Source organism: Homo sapiens, chromosome 1 (genome assembly GCF_000001405.40).
Source record: "Homo sapiens chromosome 1, GRCh38.p14 Primary Assembly".
Classification (NCBI taxonomy): Eukaryota; Metazoa; Chordata; class Mammalia; order Primates; family Hominidae; genus Homo; species Homo sapiens.
Window position 1 is genome coordinate 224323652 of NC_000001.11, and position 19135 is coordinate 224342786.

Sequence of the window (19135 nt, forward strand, 5' to 3'; positions counted from 1 at the left end):
GAAAAGGGAAGAACGACCCTTCAGGAGGCTCAAAAGAAGGCAGGGCTGCCACTGCCAACACAAACCCAGAGGGCACAGGTCCGGCAGGTGGGGCTGCCTCCTCCTAGGTAACAGGGCAGGATCACCACCCTACGGAGCCCACAGGGCAGGGCATCAAGCCAAAGAGGATTATTCTAACATCTGAAAATCTAATGACATTTGCCCTGCTTGGTTTTAGATTTGCTTGGGACCCATGACCCTTTCTTTTTTCCAATTGCTCTCTTTTAGAATAGGAATGAATGTCTAACCTACACCTATGCCTGTCCTGCCATTGTACAATTGTGCATCACTAAACAATGGAGACACATTCTGAGAAGTGTATCATTAAGCATTTTCATTGTGTGAAAACAAAAATAAGTAAGAGTATACTTACACAAACCTAGATGGGCTAGCCTATTACACACCTAGACTACATGGTATAGCCTACTGTGCCTACAAACCTATACAGCACATTATTGTACTAAATACTATAGGCAACTGTAACACAATGGTATTGTGTTTTTAAACATATCTAAACACAGAAAAGGTACAGTACAAATATGATGTAATAATCTTATGGGATCACCATCATACATGAGGTCCATCATTGACTGAAACACTGTTATATAGCACATGCCTGTATTTTGGAAGCAGATAACTTGTCTGGTTTCACAGGTTAATAGATGAAGAGGAATTTTGCCCCAGGATAAATCATACCTTGAATCTCAGCCATTACCAATTAATTTAGATAACATTATTTTTATTTATTTTATTTTTAGAGACAGGGTCTTGCTCTGTTACCCAGCTGGAGTGCACTGGTGCAATCATAGCTCACTGCAACCTTGAACTCCTGGGCTCAAGCGATCCTCCCACCTCAGCCTCTTGAGTAGCAAGGACTACAGGTTCAGGCCACCATGCCCAGCTAATTATTTCTATTTTCATTTTGTAGAGATGGGGTCTCACTATGTTCCCCAAGTTGGTCTTGAACTCTATGGCCTTAAGCCAATGGCCCCTCAAAATGCTGGGATTATAGGTGTGAGTCCTTGCATCTGGCCTGATTTAGATGATATTGAGATGAGAGTTTGGACTTAAGAGTTGATGCTAAAATGAGTTAAGACTTTTGGGGCTTGTGGAATGGAATGAATGTATCTGCACATGAGAAGGCCATGAATTTTGGGAGCCACAGGACAGAGTCCAATAAGCTGAATTGTGTTTCCCTTATATTCTTATGTTGATGTCCTAACCCCCAGTACCTCTGAATATGACTGCATTTGGAGATAGAGCCTCTAGAAATAATTAAGGTATTCTTGGCCAGGTGCGGTGGCTCCCACCTATAACCCCAGCACTTTGGGAGGCTGAGGTAGGCAGATCACCTGAGGTCAGGAGTTCAAGACCAGCCTGGCCAACATGGTGAAACCCCATCTCTATTAAAAATACAAAAATTAGTTGGGTGTGGTTAGCACACGCCTGTAATCCCAGCTACTCAGGAGGCTGAGGCAGGAGAATCGCTTAAACCCAGGAGGCAGAGCTTGCAGTGAGCCGAGATCGCGCCACTGCACTCCAGCCTGGGCGACAGAGCAAGACTCCGTCTCAGAAAAAAAAAAAAAGACTCAGGAAGCTGGCTGGGCATGGTGGCTCATGCGTGTCATCCTAGCACTTAGGGAGGCGAAGGTGGAAGGATCACTTGAGGTCAGGTGTTCCAGACCAACCTGGGCAAATACAGAAGGCCCTGTCTCCACAAAAAATAAAAATAAAAACTGTATTTAAAAAAAAAAAAAAAGAGGCTGGGCGCTGTGGCTCACGTCTGTAATCCCAGCACTTTGGGAGGCCAAGGTGGGCGGATCACCTGAGGTCAGGAGTTCGAGACCAGCCTGGCCAACATGGTGAAGCCCTGTCTCTACTAAAAATACAAAATTACCCAGGTGTGGTGGCACATGCCTGTAATTCCAGCTACTTGGGAAGCTGAGGCAGGAGAATTGCTTGAACCTGGGAAGCGGAGGTTGCGGTGAGCTGAGGTCATGCCATTGCACTCCAGCCTGGGCAACAAGAGCGAAATTCTGTCTCAAAAAGAAAGGAGTCAGGAAACTCAGGGAGATCATACCTGCTGGTGATGGTTTTAATTTTCTTTCTTTTTTGGGACAGGATCTTATTCTGTCACTGAGGTTAGAGTGCAGTGGCGTGACCACAGCTCACTACAGCCTTGACCTCCTGGGCTCAAGTGATCCTCCCACCTCAGCCTCCCAAGTAGGTGGGACCACAGGTGCATGCCACCAAGCCTGGCAAATTTTTGTATATTTTTTGTACAGATGGGGTTTCACCATGTTGCCCAGGCTGGTCTCAAACTCCTGGGCTTAAGCCATCCTCCCACCTCAGCCTCCCAAAGTGTTGAGATTACAGGCATGAGCCATTATGACTGGCCCGGTTTTAATTTTCTAATGTAGCAGGAAAGGAAGTGATATAATAACATCTCTATCTCTTGACCAGACTGTCAGGTACTAAAAGATAAGCAGTGACCCATTTCCCACAGTACAAAAGACATTTTACTGCACATAATAGGTATTTGATAAATGTTTGCATAACTGAATTGAGTTCCAAGATTATGGATTGGTGAACTAATGCCAGCAGCTACTGATATCAACTGGAAATTTAGGCAGGATATAAACTTTTAAAATGGTAAAGGAGACATAAAAATCCAAGGATCCGGAAACTATATTTATTTACCTGTACACTCTTTGTAAATCAGACGCTAAGACTCCAATGTCCACATATTTGCCACATTTGTTACTGGTAAGGTACTAAAACAGAAAATATAACAAATACAAAACACCCAATATTTCAAACTCAGTGATTTTAATCAACAGATTGAGCTATCTGAACACATTATACTTTAAGATAAACTCTTCGTTAATAAAGTGTACCAGAAACATAAATAAAAGTAACCAAATAATTGTCAAATATGAAATCAGAAAATTTAATTAACATTATTAATCACTATAATACAATACTAATAATTATCAGAATAGTTATAAGGCAGTAAGTGAGGGCTTACTTACTAATATCCTAGGTTTCCAAACACCCCAGAACACTGCAGTAAACTCATAAGGGTAGGAGGGGATATTTTAAACTTCAAGGAACACAGTGATATTTGACATCTGTCAGATACTGCAGAACTACTAGCTTGAGGCAATTTAGTTTCAATATTAAATCACCTTTTGGCTGGGCATGGTGGCTCATATCTGTAATCCCAACACTTTGGGAGCCCAGGAGTTTGAGACCACCCTGGGCAACAAAGTTTGACCTCATCTCTACAAAAAAATTAAAAAGTTGGTTGGATGTGGTGGCTTGTGCTTATACTCCCAGCATTTTGGGAGGCCAAGGTGGGAGATCGCTTAAGCCCAGACTTAGAGGTTGCAGTGAGCTATGATCGAGCCACTGCACTCCAGCCTGGATAACAGAACGAGACCTTATCTCAAAAATAAATACATAAATAAGCCCGGGCGTGGTGGCTCACACCCGTAATCCCAGCACTTTGAGAGGCCAAGGCGGGAGGATTGCTTCAGTCCAGGTGTTCGAGACCAGCCTGGGCAAGGTGGTAAGATCTCATCTCTACAAAAAATTTTAAAATTAGCCAGACATGGTGGTGCATACCTGTGGTCCCAGCTACATGGGAGGCTGAGGTGGGAGAATCACTTGACCCCACGAGTTTGAGATGGCAGTGAGCAGTGTTCACACCACTGCACTCCAGCCTGGGTGACAGAGCTAGACCCAGTCTCAAAAATAAAAAATTAAAATTAAATTAAATATATAGCTAAGTGAAAATTTATTTAAAATATTGTGTAAGACTATCTTCAGGCTATGTGTGTAAGGTGTATATGAAACATAAATAAACTTCATGTTTAACTTGGGTCCCATCCCCAAATATCTCATTATGTATATGCAAACATTCCAAAACCTGAAAAAAATCAATCTGAAACATTTTTTGGTCTTAAGCATTTAGAATAAGGGATATTCATTTGTACTTTTATAATGAACCAAAGTGAAAGCTATAGAGGAAAACTGATAATGTCAAACGCTGAAAAGAGTCAAGTGTGAGGACAGAGAAGAGGCCACTAGATCCAGTAATTAGGAGTCACTGCTCAGAAACCTCAATAAAGTGAAGGAGCAAGTTGTGGGACGCGGGAACATCCAGAGGAAGAGTAATTCAGAGTGACTGAACAACGAGAACAAAGGTCCTGTGCTTGGCATGTTTGAGAAGGTCTGTGTGGCTGGGACAGGAGAGGAAAAGTAAACTAGGACAACAGAGGCCAGAATATGCAGGGCTTTTCAGACTGGGTTTTACTCTAGATGTCTGTGACTCCACTGAAAGGTTTTGAGCAGGGCTATGGCAAGCTCTGATTTCCCCCCCCTTTTTTTTAGTTATACTTTAAGTTCTGGGATACATGTGCAGAACATGCGGGTTTGTTACATAGGTATACAGGTGCCATGGTGGTTTCCTGCACCCATCAACCCGTCATCTACATTAGGTATTTTTCCTAATGCTATCCCTCCCCTAGCCCGATTTTTCCCTTTAAAAGGATGTCTTGGCCACGCCTGTAATCCCAGCACTTTGGGAGGCTGAGGCGGGCAGATCACCTGAGGTCAGGAGTTCGAGACTAGCCTGGCCAACATGGTGAAATCCCATCCCTACTAAAAATACAAAAAGTAGCCAGGCGTGATGGCATGCACTTGTAATCCCACGTACTCGGGAGGCTGAGGCAGGAGAATCACTTGAACCCAGGAGGCAGAGGTTGCAGTGAGCAGAAAAAAAAAAAAAAATTAGATGTCTCTGGCTGCTCTGTGGGGAATAGGCTTTAGGTAAAAGCAGAATCAGAGAGATCAGTTAGGAGGCTATTGTAATAGTATAAGGTAGAGATGATGGTTTGGACTAAGATGGTTACAGGGAAAGACAGTAAGAAGTACTTGGAATATATTTTGAAAGTAAAGCCAACCAGGCTGTTGACAGATGGTATACAGGAAATGAAAGACTCAGAATGATCCTTAAGGTTTTTGGCCTTAACAACAGGACGAACGGTAGTATCATTTACTGAGATACAGAACACTAAGAAAGGGCAGATTTGAAGGAAGAAAAAAATCACAAATTCCACTTGGCCATTTTAATTTGGAGATATGCTGACTAGGCAGCTGGATATATCAATCTGTACTTCAAGATAAAATCTGGACTGGAGATATAAAGTTAGCAGTCATAAATATACAGAGGCCAGTGCAGCAGCTTGCACCGGTAATCCCAGCACTTTGGGAGGCTGAGGCCCGATCGCTTGAGCCCAGGAGTTAGAGACCAGCCAGAGTAACATAGTGGAACCCCGTCTCTACAAATAATAATAATAATAATAAATTAGCCAGGTGTGGTGGTGCACACCTGTAGTCCCAGCTACTGGGGAGGCTGAGGAGGGAGGATCACTTGAGTCAGGGAGGCCGAGGGTGCAGTGAGTTATGATTGTGCCCATAAACAGCCACTGCACTCTAGCCTGGGCAACAGAGCGAGACTATGTCTCAGAAAAATAAAAATAAAATGAAATAAATACATAGATAATAGAGTATGTAGATACTACTCAAAGGTTATTACACTAAATGAGATCACATAGGAAGTATGGATAGATAAGAAAGGTGTATGAGGAAAGAGGAGGAAGGGGAGGTAAGAGAACAGTGGCACAGAGCACTTCCAACATTTACAAGTTGGTAGGAAAAGATGGGTCCGAAAAGGAGATTGTTTAGGGGCTGGTGAAGTGAAAGAAAAACAAGGAGAATGTGTAGCTCACAAATTCCTAAGTGAAGAAAATTCTCTCCCACCTTTTAACTCAGACTGCTTGCTTACATTCTGAGGTATTTGCCACACACTGCTTTTTACTGATGGTCATGAAAATGAGAAAACCGTAGGCAAAGTGCCTGTTACTGTTGCCAGACCCATGTTATCTCGTTTTAGTGTGTAAGTTCCTTGAGAACGGAAATTAACATATTATTTATGCCACCCCTTCTCAAGGACCTCTTACAATGCGAGCGTTTGAAGACCATTCCTGTGCTAACTTCACAAGCCAAAGAGGTTAAAATTCAAAGGCTACCTCCACTCTACTGAATGATCTGCGCTGAAGACGACCAGACAACTTGGGCAGCCCTACCAAGCTGCACCCTCCCACCATCCCCGGCTTCTCCCTGAGACTCCGCACCAACGTGGGTAGGGAAGGCCCCGGCAGCACCAACTAAGGAGAAACAGACGCACGCCCAGACCCAGACTGGGGAAAGAAGACTAGTTGAGTTCCACCTGGATGCCACCCGACAAAAGGGGAGTGGCACCCTGGGGCAGCGATCGGGGCCCTTGGCGAGGCCAAGCGGTGCAGAATACACACCTGGATGACTCGCTGCTTGAGTTTATTATCCACGAACCCTGCAGGTCTGGGCTTCATCGCGTCGGTCTTCCAAGCCACAGCTCGGACCGCCAGCTCCTAGTCAACCGGGGGCCTCGTAGGGGTTGCCCGCCGCGATCGCCGGGCCAGTTGCACCTGAAATGCGCCCCTCCTGGGGCCTAGCCCGCGCCGTTTCCGTCAGAATAAAAGTAATGCGAATGAAGGGGAAAAAATTCCGAGGAGAGGGAGAAGACTTGAAAACCTCAGGGAGTTTCTAGGGGCCTTATTTTGCAGGCCTGCCCAGTGGACCCTGGAAGATTAGGACCCCTTTGAACGCGCTCAACTTTATTGGTTCCCCGCCGGGCGAACCAGGTGGGAGGAAGTTCCTACCCCGGCGCGGTGTGCGGAGACGCTGTCAACGGCGTCCTCTGGAAAACTTGGTTTGCTTTCCTCAGGCGTTCCAGCCACACCTCATTCTGATACAAAGCTAGTCTTCGCAAAACCAGCCACGGTAGATACTTGGAGTGATAAAATCAGGGTAAAAACACACCACCAGCCGCTGCTTGCTTTCCCACGTAGTTATCTTACATTTTAGAGGCCCGACAAAAGGGCTAGGTGAAAAAGAAAAGGAAGGACGGATTTATCCAGATAACTAAGTCATTTGTTACTTTTAGAACTCGTTTGACTTACGCTGTTATCATCGGCAGGTAATTTGTTGAATATATCCAGTGCAGGACTCCTTGGCCCAGAATTTTATCAAACGTTTGTATTTGCCCCAAGAAGTTTATCCTGCACTTAGGGAGACACAAAGGGACAGTTACCAAGCATTAAAAAAAAAATGCTGGCTTTAGTTTCTGTCTTCTTGTTTATTTCAACCGTGTTTTGAGTATTCTTATTTCAGGTCCTCCTTGGCTTATGACAAGGTTAAGTGCAGTGTATTAAGGGGCAGAGGGGAGAGAAAATGGAATTAAGAGAAGGGCGTGAGGCCGGGCACGGTGGCTCACACCTGTAATCCCAGCACTTTGGGAGGCCGAGGCGGGCAGATCACTTGAGGTCAGGAGTTCACGACCAGCCTGGCCAACATGGTGAAACCTTGTCTCTACTAAAAATATAAAAATTAGCACTGAATTAAGTATTAGATTTCCCACTCAAAATATTGATCCGTTTGGTTGCAACTTCATTTCCTACTTCTTCACTATGTGTAGTTTTATTTTTTATTTTTTTAGTTGTAAAATATAAGAACATTCACCATCTTAAACATTTTAAAGTGTGCAGTTTAGTGATAATACATTCATAATATGCAACCATCACTGCCATCTAGTTCCAGAACTCTTTTCATCTTGTACAACTAAAACTCTATACTAATTAAAAAATAACTCCCCATTCCTCCCTCCCCCCAGCCCCTGGCAACTACCATTCTACTTACTGTCTTTATGATTTTGACTACACTAACTTCCTCATATAAGTGGAATCTTCCAGTATTTGACTTTTGTGACTGGCTTGTTTCTTAGCTTAATGCCCTCATATAGCATGTGTTAGAATTTCCTTCTTTCTTTTCTTTTTTTTTTTTTTTTTTTTTTGATACAGAGTCTTGCTCTGTTGCCCAGGCTGGAGTGCAGTGGCGCAATCTCAGCTCACTGCAACCTTCGCCTCCTGGGTTCAAGAGATTCTACCACCTCAGCCTCCCAAGTAGTTGGGACTACAGGTGTGTACCACCACACCCGGCTAATTTTTTGTATTTTTAGTAGAAATGGCGTTTTGCCATGTTGGCCAGGCTGATCTCCAACTCCTGACCTGAGGTGATCCACCTGCCTTGGCCTCCCAAAGTGCTGGGATTACAGGTATAAGCCACCGCACCTGGCCTTTCCTTCACTTTTAAGGCTGAATAAAATTTGGCTCTTTTGTTGCCATTCTGCCTTTTGCCATGGGATGACACAGCAAGAAGGCCCTCACCAAATAACAACTCCTTGATATTGGACTTTCCAGCCTTCTTGCATTCATTCAACAAGTGTTTATTGAGTGCCTACCAGTTTCAGTCTCTGCTCTGCGCTTTAGGCTTGTGGGGAAAAGTGGAAGAATTATAACTAACTTTTTATAACATTTAAAAAATTTGATTAGGTATTTATGTGCTTGATTAAATGTTAGCAAAGATTCCCTACAGCATATAGTACAAATGTAGTCAATGCTCAGTAATTTTTAAAATGAAATGTAATTCTGTGCATGCCAAATGTCCAACATAGAATGAAAACACACTGAGGCCAGGCATGGTGGCTCATGCCTATACTACCAGCACTTTGGGAGGCAGAGGCAGGTGGATCACCTGAGGTCAGGAGTTCAAGACTAGCCTGACCAATGTGGTGAAACCCTGTCTCTATTAAAAATACAAAATTATCCGGGTGTGGTGGCCCATGCCTGTAATCCTAGCTACTTGGGAGGCTGAGGCAGGAGAATCACTTGAACCTGGGAGGCAGAGGTTGCAGTGAGCTGAGATTGCGCCATTGCACTCTAGCCTGGGCAACAAGAGCAAAACTCCATCTCAAAAAAACGAACAAATAAACAACCACATTGAAAGGCCTAGTAGTATCATGACATGTACTAGGCAATATAGTTTATTAGTCTATAATTTGTCATAGAATACTATCCTACACTTAGGGTTGACTTCATGGGTATGTGACCTCTGCAGTCACACAGGGCCCTGTGCTCAGAAGGGCCCCACAGGTGGTTTAATGCTGTACTGTTGCCATCTTGAAATGCTTTCTGAATAAGCTGTCCCTTATTTTCATTTTGCACTGGGTCTTACAAATTATGTAACCAGCCATTCATATGTAAACTTGAAGTACTCTAGAATGCTGCCTTCTTCTTCTTTTTCTTCTTTTTTTTTTTAGGTGGAGTCTCACTATATTGCCAGGCTAGAGTGCAGTGGTACGATCTTGGCTCACTGTAACCTCCGCCTCCCGGGTTCAAGCGATTCTTCTGCCTCAGCCTCCCAAGTAGCTGGGACTCCAGGTGCATGCCACCATGCCCAGCTAATTTTTGTATTTTTAGTAGAGACAGGGTTTCACCATATTGGCCAGGCTCGTCTTGAACTCCTGACCTCGTGATTCGCCTGTCTCGGCCTCTCAAAGTGCTGGGATTACAGGCATGAGCCACTGCACCCAGCCACCTCCTTCTTAAAGGCAGGGAATGTGTTGTTCATCTCACTACTGCTTCAGGTGCAGAAGGCAATAATTGAAAGTGAATTAATACTAGATGATAATATGCTTGAACATTTCTCGTTGGAATTATTTCATCAATTATTGCCCTGAAGACCATTTTACATTGATTCCAATGTTTGGATTTACAATATCATGCATCAAAACCAAAAAGATTACTGAACAGTAACCTAAGTGCATATACACTTTAAGCACTTCCTTTTTTAATTGAAGCATCCTCCATTCTTTGGTGGTGTAACCCCACCTAGTGGTAGTGGCGTATTTTATCTTTTGTCTTTCACACTTTCTCCTAAACCTCATACAGTATTTCACAAGCAAACAGCTTCTGGTCTAATTGTGCTTCATAACTAGGGTGATTTATGTCCAGATTTGCTCAGGACAGTCCTGATTTTTGATTCAGCAAAATTATTGCTAGTATCCCCTTTGTGGAAATACATGAAGACCAAATACATAAGAAGAGGTGAAGACTATTTGTTCAGAGTTTGCTATAACAAGGGAGTCAGCCACCATCACTTGTGTTTTGGCAGAGCCTCAAAGACAGGCAGAGGAGTGGGAAAACTTTATGGTGGGGAATAGGGGAAGGCTTCAGGTACGCCCTAACTGAAGACTGTTGTCATAGGGAAGCTATAGGTGGGCTAAATAGAACTAGCAGAGCATCCTATGTGTTTGGTTGGGATGCACAGTTGGTTTTCTTTTTGGTCCTATGTTGACAGCAGGTCCAAAAATTAGAAAAGCTATCATTTATTAATAAAGTTTTTGCCATCTGGGGCCGTTTGTTACAGGGGTTGTTGCTGGGTTCCTGGATTGTTTGCTAGTGATAGTGATCTAACTTCCTACATGTCTGACTTGTAGATGATATATTGGTTTTCTGGTCTGGTTGCTGCAGATTGTGAGTCAGAGTTCTATTTTTGCATTTGGTCTGGCCATTTTTCATTCACATGTTCAGTGTCTTCCTTTTATCTCTCAAAAAGGTTCTAGTTTGGACAATGTATGACCACTCTATGTATAGTAGGAACATGGAGAAAAAGATGAAGTTTGCATGTCAGAGGATCCTTACTGAGATGCAAAAATGAGGCTTCCTGCTTGCTGGGAGCTGGAGACTGAGTTCTGTTCTGTTATGTTCTTTTCTTTTCTTTTTCGAGACAGGGTTATATGGTTTGGCTATGTCGCCACTCAAATCTCATCTTGAATTGTGGCTTCCATAATTCTTATGAATTGTAGGAAGGACCTAGTGGCAGATAAATGAATCATGGGGGTGGTTTCCCCCATACTGTTCTGGTGGTAGTGAATAAGTCTCATGAGATCTGATGATTTTATAAGGTGTTTCCTCTTTTGCTTGGCTCTAATTCTGTCTCATCTGCCATCATGTAAGACGTGCCTTTACTCTTCCACCATGATTGTGAGACCTCCCCAGCCACGAGGAACTATAGGTCCATTAAGTCTGTTTTTCTTTATAAATTACCCAGTCTTGGGTATGTCTTTATCAGCAGTGTGAAAATTGACTAATACAGAGCATCCCACTCTGTCGACCAGGCTAGAGTGCAGTGGCATGATTTCAGCTCACTGCAACCTCTGCTTCCCTGTTTTTTTTGTTTTTGTTTTTGTTTTTTTGAGATGTAGTCTTGCTCTGTCGCCCAGGCTGGAGTGCAGTGGCACGATCTCAGCTCACTGCATCCTCCGCCTCCCAAGTGCAAGCAATTCTCTGCTTCAGCCTCCCGAGTAGCTGGGATTGCAAGTGCCCACCATCACACCCAGCTAATTTTTTTGTATTTTTAATAGAGATGGGGTTTCATCATCTTGGCCAGGCTGGTCTTGAACTCCTGACCTCGTGATCCATCCGCCTTGGCCTCCTAAAGTGCTGGGATTACAGGCGTGAGCCACTGCTCCCGGCCACTTCCCTGGTTTAAGCAATTCTCCCACCCCAACCTCCTGAGTAGCTGGGACTACTTGTACGTGCCACCACACCCAGCTAACTTTTGTATTTTTTGGTAGAGACAGGTTTCATCACATTGGCCAGGCTGGTCTCAAACTCCTGACCTCAAGTGATCCGCTCGCTTCAGCCTCCCAAACTGCTGGGATTACAGGCATGGGCCACTGCGCCCGGCCTTGAGTTTTTTGAGATTAAAAAAAATCTTTAATTTATTTTATTTGGTAATGGCTAACGATTCCATTTTCTAATCAGGTTTACCATTCTTTGAGGTGATTGCCTCATTTATGTTCCTAATCCTGAATAGAATGAAAATAATATTTTGAGCTTGGCATTTTATACATTCATTCTACAAATATTTATTGTCTCCTGTGTACCAGTTACTATGCCGAAATCAAAAAAAACAGTGATGACCAAAACAGATATGGCCTTGGAACTTATATTCTACAGTGTCCCTTTAGAGAGGGACAGGAGATGAACTGGTAAATCAATAAATGTTTAATTAAAAAATGAGAAGTAAGGAGGATTTCATAGCCCATGGTATAGAATCTTTTTATTTATTTATTTATTTATTTATTTAGAGACAGAGTTTCGCTCTTGTTGTCCAAGCTGGAGTGCAATGGAGTGATCTTGGCTTACTGCAACCTCCACCTCCCGGGTTCAAGCAATTCTCCTGCCTCAGCCTCCCAAGTAGCTGGGATTACAGGCGTGCACCACCATGCCCAGCTAAGTTTTTGTATTTTTAGTAGAAACGGGGTTTCACCATGTTAGCCAGGCTGGTCTTGAACTCCTGACCTCAGGTGATCCGCCTGCTTCGGCCTCCCAAAGTGCCGGTATTACAGGGGTGAGCCACTGTGCCCTGCCTATTTTTTTAATTATTATTTTTTGAGATGGAGTCTCACTCTGTCACCCAGGCTGGAGTGCAGTGGCGTGAGCTTGGCTCACTGCAACCTCCACCTCCCGGGTTTCAAGCTATTCAAGCGATTCTCCTGCCTCAGCCTCCCAAGTAGCTGGAATTACAGGCACGCACCACCATGCCTGGCTAATTTTTTTGTGTTTTTAGTAGAGATGGGGTTTTGTTATGTTGGCCAGGCTGATCTCGAACTCCTGACCTCAAGTGATCCACCCACCTCCACCTCCCAAATTGCTGGGATTACAGGTGTGAGCCATTGCTCCTGGCCTGAATCTTTCATATAGAAATTTTTTAGTAAATAATTGTTAAGTAAATGAATGAAAATTGTGAAGTAAATAATCAGAGTACTGTGATAGAAAATAACAAGGCCAGGTGCAGTGGCTCACGCCTGTAATCCCAGCACTTTGGGAGGCCGAGGCGGGCAGATCACCTGAGATTGGGAGTTTGAGACCAGCCTGACCAACATGGAGAAACCCTGTCTCTACTAAAAATACAAAATTAGCCAGGGGTGGTGGCGCATGCCTGTAATCCCAGCTACTTGGGAGTTTGAGGCAGGAGAATCACTTGAACCCGGGAGGCGGAGGTTGCGGTGAGCTGAGATTGTGCCACTGCACTCCATCCTGGGCAACAAGAGCGAAACTCTGTCTCAAAAAAAGGGAAGAAAATAACAAATCCTTTTGTAGTTCCTAAGTGTGAAGAATGGGTGTTCATGCAGAAGGATAAGATGTGCTACCCTCAAACCTTGTTCCGTGCATATTACACGTCTGACATGGAAAAAAAAGAAGAAAATAAAAAAGGGAGACTACCTCAGTCCCTGGTCAAGGGAGGTCTTTCTGAGAATGTGACAGGTAAGGACTTTAAGTATAGCAGAAGCCAATTGTACAAGGAGAGTGGGAAGAGTTTGAGGTAGAGAGAGAATAATGTGTGCCAAGACTTTAAGCAGAAAAGAAGTTGACCTGTTCTAGGAACAGAAACAGAGAAAAATAAGCTTATTTGTTGTTTCAACCACCATTATTTCAGATTTCTGTCACTCAAAACCAACATTAATTTGAACAAATACAGGTATCTGGAGGAATTTTAAAAGTCGAATCTAAGATTGATGCAGAAGAGAAAATGACAGAAAAGAGCCAAAACATTCCTGAATAAGAACCTGGTATCATTAACATTTTTTAAAAAACACTATTGAGGTATAATTTACCTATAATAAAAAGGGTCCATTTAAAGTGTATAACTCAGTGATTTTATCCATTTATTTATTTATTTTTAAAAGATGGTCTCAGGCCAGGCGCGGTGGCTCATGCCTGTAATCCCAGCACTTTGGGAGGCCGAGGTGGGCAGATCACCTGAGGTCAGGAGTTCGAGACCAGCCTGACCAACATGGAGAAACCCCATCTCTACTAAAAATACAAAAATTAGCCGGGTGTGGTAGCGCATGCCTGTAATCCCAGCTACTCAGGAGGCTGAGGCAGGAGAATCGCTTGAACCCGGGATGCAGAGGTTGTGGTGAGCTGAGATTGCGCCATTGCACTCCAGCCTGGGCCACAAGAGTGAAACTCCATCTCAAAAAAAAAAAAAAAAAAAAGAAAGTCTCACTCTTGTGGCCCAGGCTGGGGTACAATGGTGATCATAGCTCACTGTAGGTTCAGCCTCCTGAACTCAAGTGACCCTCCTGCCTCAGCCTCCTGAGTAGTTAGGATTACAGGCATGTGTCACTGTGCTGGCTTTTTTTTTTTTTTTAAACTGGGTCTTGCTGTGTTACCCAGGCTGGTTTCGAACCCCTGGCTTCAACCAATCCTTCTGCCTCAGCCTCCAAGAATGCTGGGATTACAGGTGTGAGCCACCATGCTGGGGAAATTTTTTTTTAATTGAGGTAAATATACATAGCATAAAATTCACCATTTTATTCATTTTAAAGTATACAATTCAGTGGCATTTAGTATGTTTACAGGGTTATGCAGACATTACCACTATATAGTTCCAGAACATTTCATTAGCCCAGAAAGAAACCCTGTAACTATTAAGCAGTCACTTCAGTTTTCCCCTCTTCCCAGCCCCTGGAAACCACAAATCTACTTTTTGTTTCTATGGATTTGCCTATTTTGGACATTTCATATAAATGGAATTATACAATATGTGACCTTTTGTGTCTGACTTCTTTCACTTAGCATAATGTGTCCAAGGTTTCTCCATGTTATAGCATATATTAATACTTCATTCCTTTTCATTGCTGAGTAATATTCTGTGGTATAGATATATCCCATTTTAGTTATCAGTTCATCACCTGATAGACATTTGGGTTATTTCCACTTTAAGTTTCAGTTCTGTGGGGTATACAGTACACCCAGGAGTGGAATTGTTATGGAGCAAGGGCTCACTGCCTGATAGGCATAGAAGCCAATACTGAGGCAGGAGAATAGGGTGTGGAGACAGGGAGCCTTCACTTCAGCTTCTGATTAGTCGCAGGCCAAGTCTTTATTTGCATAGAGTATAACTTACTTCAGCTTCCAATTGGTCAGGGGCCAAGTCTTCATCTACATAGGGTGTAACCAATAGGAAACTTCTAAAGGGTACTTAAACCCCAGAAGATTTTGCAACCAGGAGCTCTTGAGCTGCTTGCTCAAGCCCGCTCCCCTCTGTGGCATGTACTTTCGCTTCAATAAATCGGTGCTTCATTGCTTCATTCTTTTGTTGCTTTGTTTGTGCATTTTGCTCAATTCTTTGTTCAACACACCAAGAACCTGGACAACTCGTCAAGACCTGGACAACCTAGTCAAGACCCTCCACCAGTAACAATACCATGGCAACTTGCTTTTGAGAAAATAGAAACCTTTATTGCAAAGTTGACTTGGCATGCTCAAATCTGTCTCCCTGAGCTGGAGAATGGGGACAGGTTTTATAGGCAGATAGTTACAATGAGGAAGATAGGAAAATGCAATGAGGTAGACCAGGCGTGGCGGCTCATGCCTATAATCTCAACACTTTGGGAGGCCCAGGCAGGTGGATCACTTGAGGTCAGGAGTTCGAGACCAACCTAACAAACATGGAGAAACCTCATCTCTACTAAAAATACAAAAATTAGCTGGGCATGGTGGTGCACACCTGTGGTCCCAGCTGCTTGGGGCGCTGAGGCAGGAGAATCACTTGAACTTGGGAAGTGGAGGTTGCAATGAGCTGAGATCACGCCACTGCACTCCAGCCTGGGAGACAAAGTAAGACTCCATCAAAAAAAAAAAAAATGGAAAAATGCAATGAGATATGATCTGATTGGGTCATGCTGAGGGTCCTTGGCTCTTAAGTCTGTACTGCAACAAAATAGGGTACTCCTTGTTTCTGAATTTGGTCCCTGTTCCTTGATCCAAGCACTTTGGTTCTGCTTGTGACTGACTTTTTCATTCCTCCTGGCTCCTAAGTCACCAATGGGGCACACTTGGCTCATCTGGGTATGCTTAGGTTATGTAACTTGCAACCTGGGGGTTGGCTGCACTGAGAAACCACTCAGAACTTTGTTTCACAAAGGTTGAACCAGATGGAATTGATTCCGCTGTTACAGAATTGCTGGGTCATATAATTCAGTATTTAACTTTTTGAAGAATCACTGAACTGTTCCCTCCAGCTGCTGCAACATTTTACATTTGTACCAGCAATGTATTGAAGGTTCAGATTTCTCTGTATCCCCCCCAACAGTTAATTTCTCTTTTGTTTTTTAATTACTGTGGGGAAAAGCAAGAGAGATCAGATTGTTACTGTGTCTGTGTAGAAAGAAGTAGACATAGGAGACTCCATTTTGTTATGTACTAAGAAAAATCCTTCTGCCTTGAGATTCTGTTAATCTATAACCTTACCCCCAACCCCGTGCTCTCTGAAACATGTGCTGTGTCAACTCAGAGTTGAATGGATTAACGGCGGTGCAAGATGTGCTTTGTTAAACAGATGCTTGAAGGCAGCATGCTCCTTAAGAGTCATCACCACTCCCTAATCTCAAGTACCCAGGGACACAAAAACTGCGGAAGGCCGCAGGGACCTCTGCCTAGGAAAGCCAGGTATTGTCCAAGGTTTCTCCCCATGTGATAGTCTGAAATATGGCCTCGTGGGAAGGGAAAGACCTGACCGTCCCCCAGCCCGACACCCGTAAAGGGTCTGTGCTGAGGAGGATTAGTAAAAGAGGAAGGAATGCCTCTTGCAGTTGAGACAAGAGGAAGGCATCTGTCTCCTGCCTGTCCCTGGGCAATGGAATGTCTCGGTATAAAACCCGATTGTATGCTCCATCTACTGAGATAGGGAAAAACTGCCTTAGGGCTGGAGGTGGGACCTGTGGGCAGCAATACTGCTTTGTAAAGCATTGAGATGTTTATGTGTATGCATATCTAAAAGCACAGCACTTAATCCTTTACATTGTCTATGATGCAAAGACCTTTGTTCACGTGTTTGTCTGCTGACCCTCTCCCCACAATTGTCTTGTGACCCTGACACATCCCCCTCTTCGAGAAACACCCACAGATGATCAATAAATACTAAGGGAACTCAGAGGCTGGCGGGATCCTCCATATGCTGAACGCTGGTTCCCCGGTTCCCCTTATTTCTTTCTCTATACTTTGTCTCTGTGTCTTTTTCTTTTCCAAATCTCTCGTCCCACCTTACGAGAAACACCCACAGGTGTGTAGGGGCAACCCACCCCTACAAATTACAGCCATTTTAGTGGGTGTGAAGTAATACCTTTTTCTTTTTCTTTTTCTTTTTTTTTTTTTGAGACAGCGTCTCACTGTGTCACTCAGGCTGGCATGCAGTGGCATGGGGGCTCCAGGTCCTCGCTGGGCACCTCTCTGCCCAACCCTCTGCACCCAGCCGGCTTCTCCCCCACCGACGGGGAGCCCCGCCTGGCCCCATCGCAGAGACCCCCAGAGCGGCGGGCTTTTGTTGGGGGGTTCCCGCTTGTCCCTGGCTCCTGCCGTCTCTGTGGAGCGCGGCACCGCCTTGGATCCAGCTCCACCTCCTCCCCGTGCCCTCCCCACGAGGCCTGGGAGCGGGTCCTGCCCGGCTGCGCAAGGGTGGGGGTCGCGCAGTTAGCTGCCTTTGGGATGCAGAGCACAGGGGACCCACCGCCGCCACTGCTGCTCCTGCAGCCGCTCCAGCTGCTACTGCTTGCACCTTCCTGCTGCAGCTCGCGCAGTGGCAGTGGCCGTGTCCTTTCATTTCAGCCTGACGTACTGACTCTAAACCTTTTCGTGTAGAGCAGGACTACTAGTGAAGAACTCTCAGTTTTTATTTATCTGGGAATATCTTTAATTTTCCTTTGTTTAAAAAGAAATTTTAAATTATAGTTAAAAACACATAACATAAAATTTATTATGTTAACCATTTTAAGTGTACAGTTCAGTACTGTTAATTGTATTCACATTGTTGTGTAAGTAACATATCTATACAACTTTTTTATCTTGCAAAACTGAAACTCTATACCTATAGATCAATAACTCCCTATTTCCTGCTTGCCCTGGACTCTGGCAACCACCATTGTACTTTCTGCTTCTATAAATTTGAGTACTTTACATAATTCATATGAGTGGAATCATACAACATTTGTCCTTTTGTGATTGGCTTATTTCAATTAGCATAATGTCCTCAAGGTTCATCTATGATATAGCATGACAGAGGAGTTTTTTTCTTTTTAAAGGCTGTATAATATTTCATCAGTTGTGTGTGGCACATTTTCTTTACCCATTCATCTATCTATGGACATTGTCCACAGATAGATGCTTTTCTTTTTTTTTTCCTTTCTTTCTTTTTTTTTTTTTTTTTTTTTTTTTGTTGAGACAGAGTCTTGCTTTGTCACCAGGCTGGAGTGCAATGGTGAGATCTTGGCTCACTGCAACCTCCACCTCCCAGGTTCAAGGAATTCTCCTGCCTCAGCCTCCTGAGTAGCTGGGACTACAGGTGCGCACCACCACACCCAGCTACTTTTTTTGTATTTTTAGTACAGACGGGGTTTCACCATGTTGGCCAGGATGGTCTCGATCTTTTGACCTCCTGATCCGCCTGCCTTGGCTTCCCAAAGTGCTGGGATTACAGGCGTGAGCCACCCCTGGCCTGCTTCCATTTTTTTACGCTTGTGAATAGTGGTGCAATGAACATGTGTGTTCAAATATTTCTTTGAGATTCTGCTTTCAGTTCTTTTGGACATATACTCACAGGTGAGATCCCATAGGTGCTAGATCCTATGGTAATTCTATTTTTAATTGTTTGAAGAACGACCATACTATTTTTCATAGCACCTGTACCATTTTACATTCCCACCAACAGTGCGCAAGTCTTTCCATTTCTCCACATCCTCACCAACACATGTTATTTCTTGGTTGTGTGTATCTCTCTCTCTCTGTGTGTGTGTGTGTGTGTGTGTGTGTGTGTGTGTGTGTTTTAAATTATGGCCAACCAAATGGGTGCAAGGCGATATCTCATTGTGTTTTTTCTTTGATAATTAGTGATATTGAGGATCTTTTCATATATCTGTGGGCCATTTTTATCTTCTTTGGAAAAATGTTTTCATGGCTTTGACCATTTTAAAATCAAGTTTAGAGTGTGTGCATATGTTTTGGGAGATGAGGTCTTGCTATGTTACTCAGGCTGGTCTCGAACTCCTGGCCTCAAGTTATCTTCCCGCCTCCACCTCCCAAAG

At 43.8% G+C, this 19135-nt stretch overlaps 1 protein-coding gene and 1 non-coding gene across 18 annotated transcripts in view, besides 8 other annotated features; one reads left to right on the top strand and one right to left on the bottom strand.

Annotated features, from left to right (window-relative positions):
• The window catches only part of NVL (nuclear VCP like), a 102828-nt gene extending 96307 nt beyond the window's left edge, over window positions 1-6521 (bottom strand). For 14 of the 17 annotated variants that reach the window (NM_001243147.2, NM_002533.4, XM_011544196.1 and 11 more), the window contains exons 1-2: window positions 6420-6521; window positions 2740-2813 (exon numbers count right to left, since the gene is read on the bottom strand). In NM_001243147.2, the coding sequence (NP_001230076.1) occupies window positions 2740-2813; window positions 6420-6476 (131 nt within the window). In that variant the 5' untranslated portion in view covers window positions 6477-6521. The remainder of the gene's footprint in view (window positions 1-2739; window positions 2814-6419) is intronic. The other 3 variants (NM_001243146.2, NM_206840.3, XM_017001383.2) reach the window with 1 other exon arrangement.
• Window positions 6089-6228: an enhancer, noted in NCBI's record as "active region_2605". NCBI's record gives its function as "activates an Ori minimal core promoter by ATAC-STARR-seq in GM12878 lymphoblastoid cells {active_cell/tissue: GM12878}" and the evidence as "EXISTENCE:reporter gene assay evidence [ECO:0000049][PMID:35858748]".
• Window positions 6279-6328: an enhancer, noted in NCBI's record as "active region_2606". NCBI's record gives its function as "activates an Ori minimal core promoter by ATAC-STARR-seq in GM12878 lymphoblastoid cells {active_cell/tissue: GM12878}" and the evidence as "EXISTENCE:reporter gene assay evidence [ECO:0000049][PMID:35858748]".
• Window positions 6519-6568: an enhancer, noted in NCBI's record as "active region_2607". NCBI's record gives its function as "activates an Ori minimal core promoter by ATAC-STARR-seq in GM12878 lymphoblastoid cells {active_cell/tissue: GM12878}" and the evidence as "EXISTENCE:reporter gene assay evidence [ECO:0000049][PMID:35858748]".
• Window positions 6589-6738: an enhancer, noted in NCBI's record as "active region_2608". NCBI's record gives its function as "activates an Ori minimal core promoter by ATAC-STARR-seq in GM12878 lymphoblastoid cells {active_cell/tissue: GM12878}" and the evidence as "EXISTENCE:reporter gene assay evidence [ECO:0000049][PMID:35858748]".
• Window positions 10396-10690: an enhancer, noted in NCBI's record as "tiled region #12366; K562 Activating DNase matched - State 5:Enh". NCBI's record gives its function as "activates a minimal TATA promoter and a strong SV40 promoter by Sharpr-MPRA in K562 cells {active_cell/tissue: K562}" and the evidence as "EXISTENCE:reporter gene assay evidence [ECO:0000049][PMID:27701403]".
• Window positions 12134-12622: a silencer, noted in NCBI's record as "fragment chr1:224523487-224523975 (GRCh37/hg19 assembly coordinates)". NCBI's record gives its function as "represses an EF-1alpha promoter that drives an FKBP-Casp9 reporter gene in an ReSE screen in K562 erythroleukemia cells {active_cell/tissue: K562}" and the evidence as "EXISTENCE:reporter gene assay evidence [ECO:0000049][PMID:32094911]".
• LOC124904838 (small nucleolar RNA U13) lies at window positions 13140-13238 on the top strand. Its single transcript, XR_007067434.1, has one exon. It is a non-coding gene; the product is annotated as a small nucleolar RNA U13 (small nucleolar RNA).
• Window positions 15797-16517: an enhancer, noted in NCBI's record as "NANOG-H3K27ac hESC enhancer chr1:224527150-224527870 (GRCh37/hg19 assembly coordinates)". NCBI's record gives its function as "activates a minimal SCP1, AML or CMV promoter by ChIP-STARR-seq in primed H9 embryonic stem cells {active_cell/tissue: H9 hESC(primed)}" and the evidence as "EXISTENCE:reporter gene assay evidence [ECO:0000049][PMID:30033119]".
• Window positions 17240-17959: an enhancer, noted in NCBI's record as "H3K27ac-H3K4me1 hESC enhancer chr1:224528593-224529312 (GRCh37/hg19 assembly coordinates)". NCBI's record gives its function as "activates a minimal SCP1, AML or CMV promoter by ChIP-STARR-seq in naive H9 embryonic stem cells {active_cell/tissue: H9 hESC(naive)}" and the evidence as "EXISTENCE:reporter gene assay evidence [ECO:0000049][PMID:30033119]".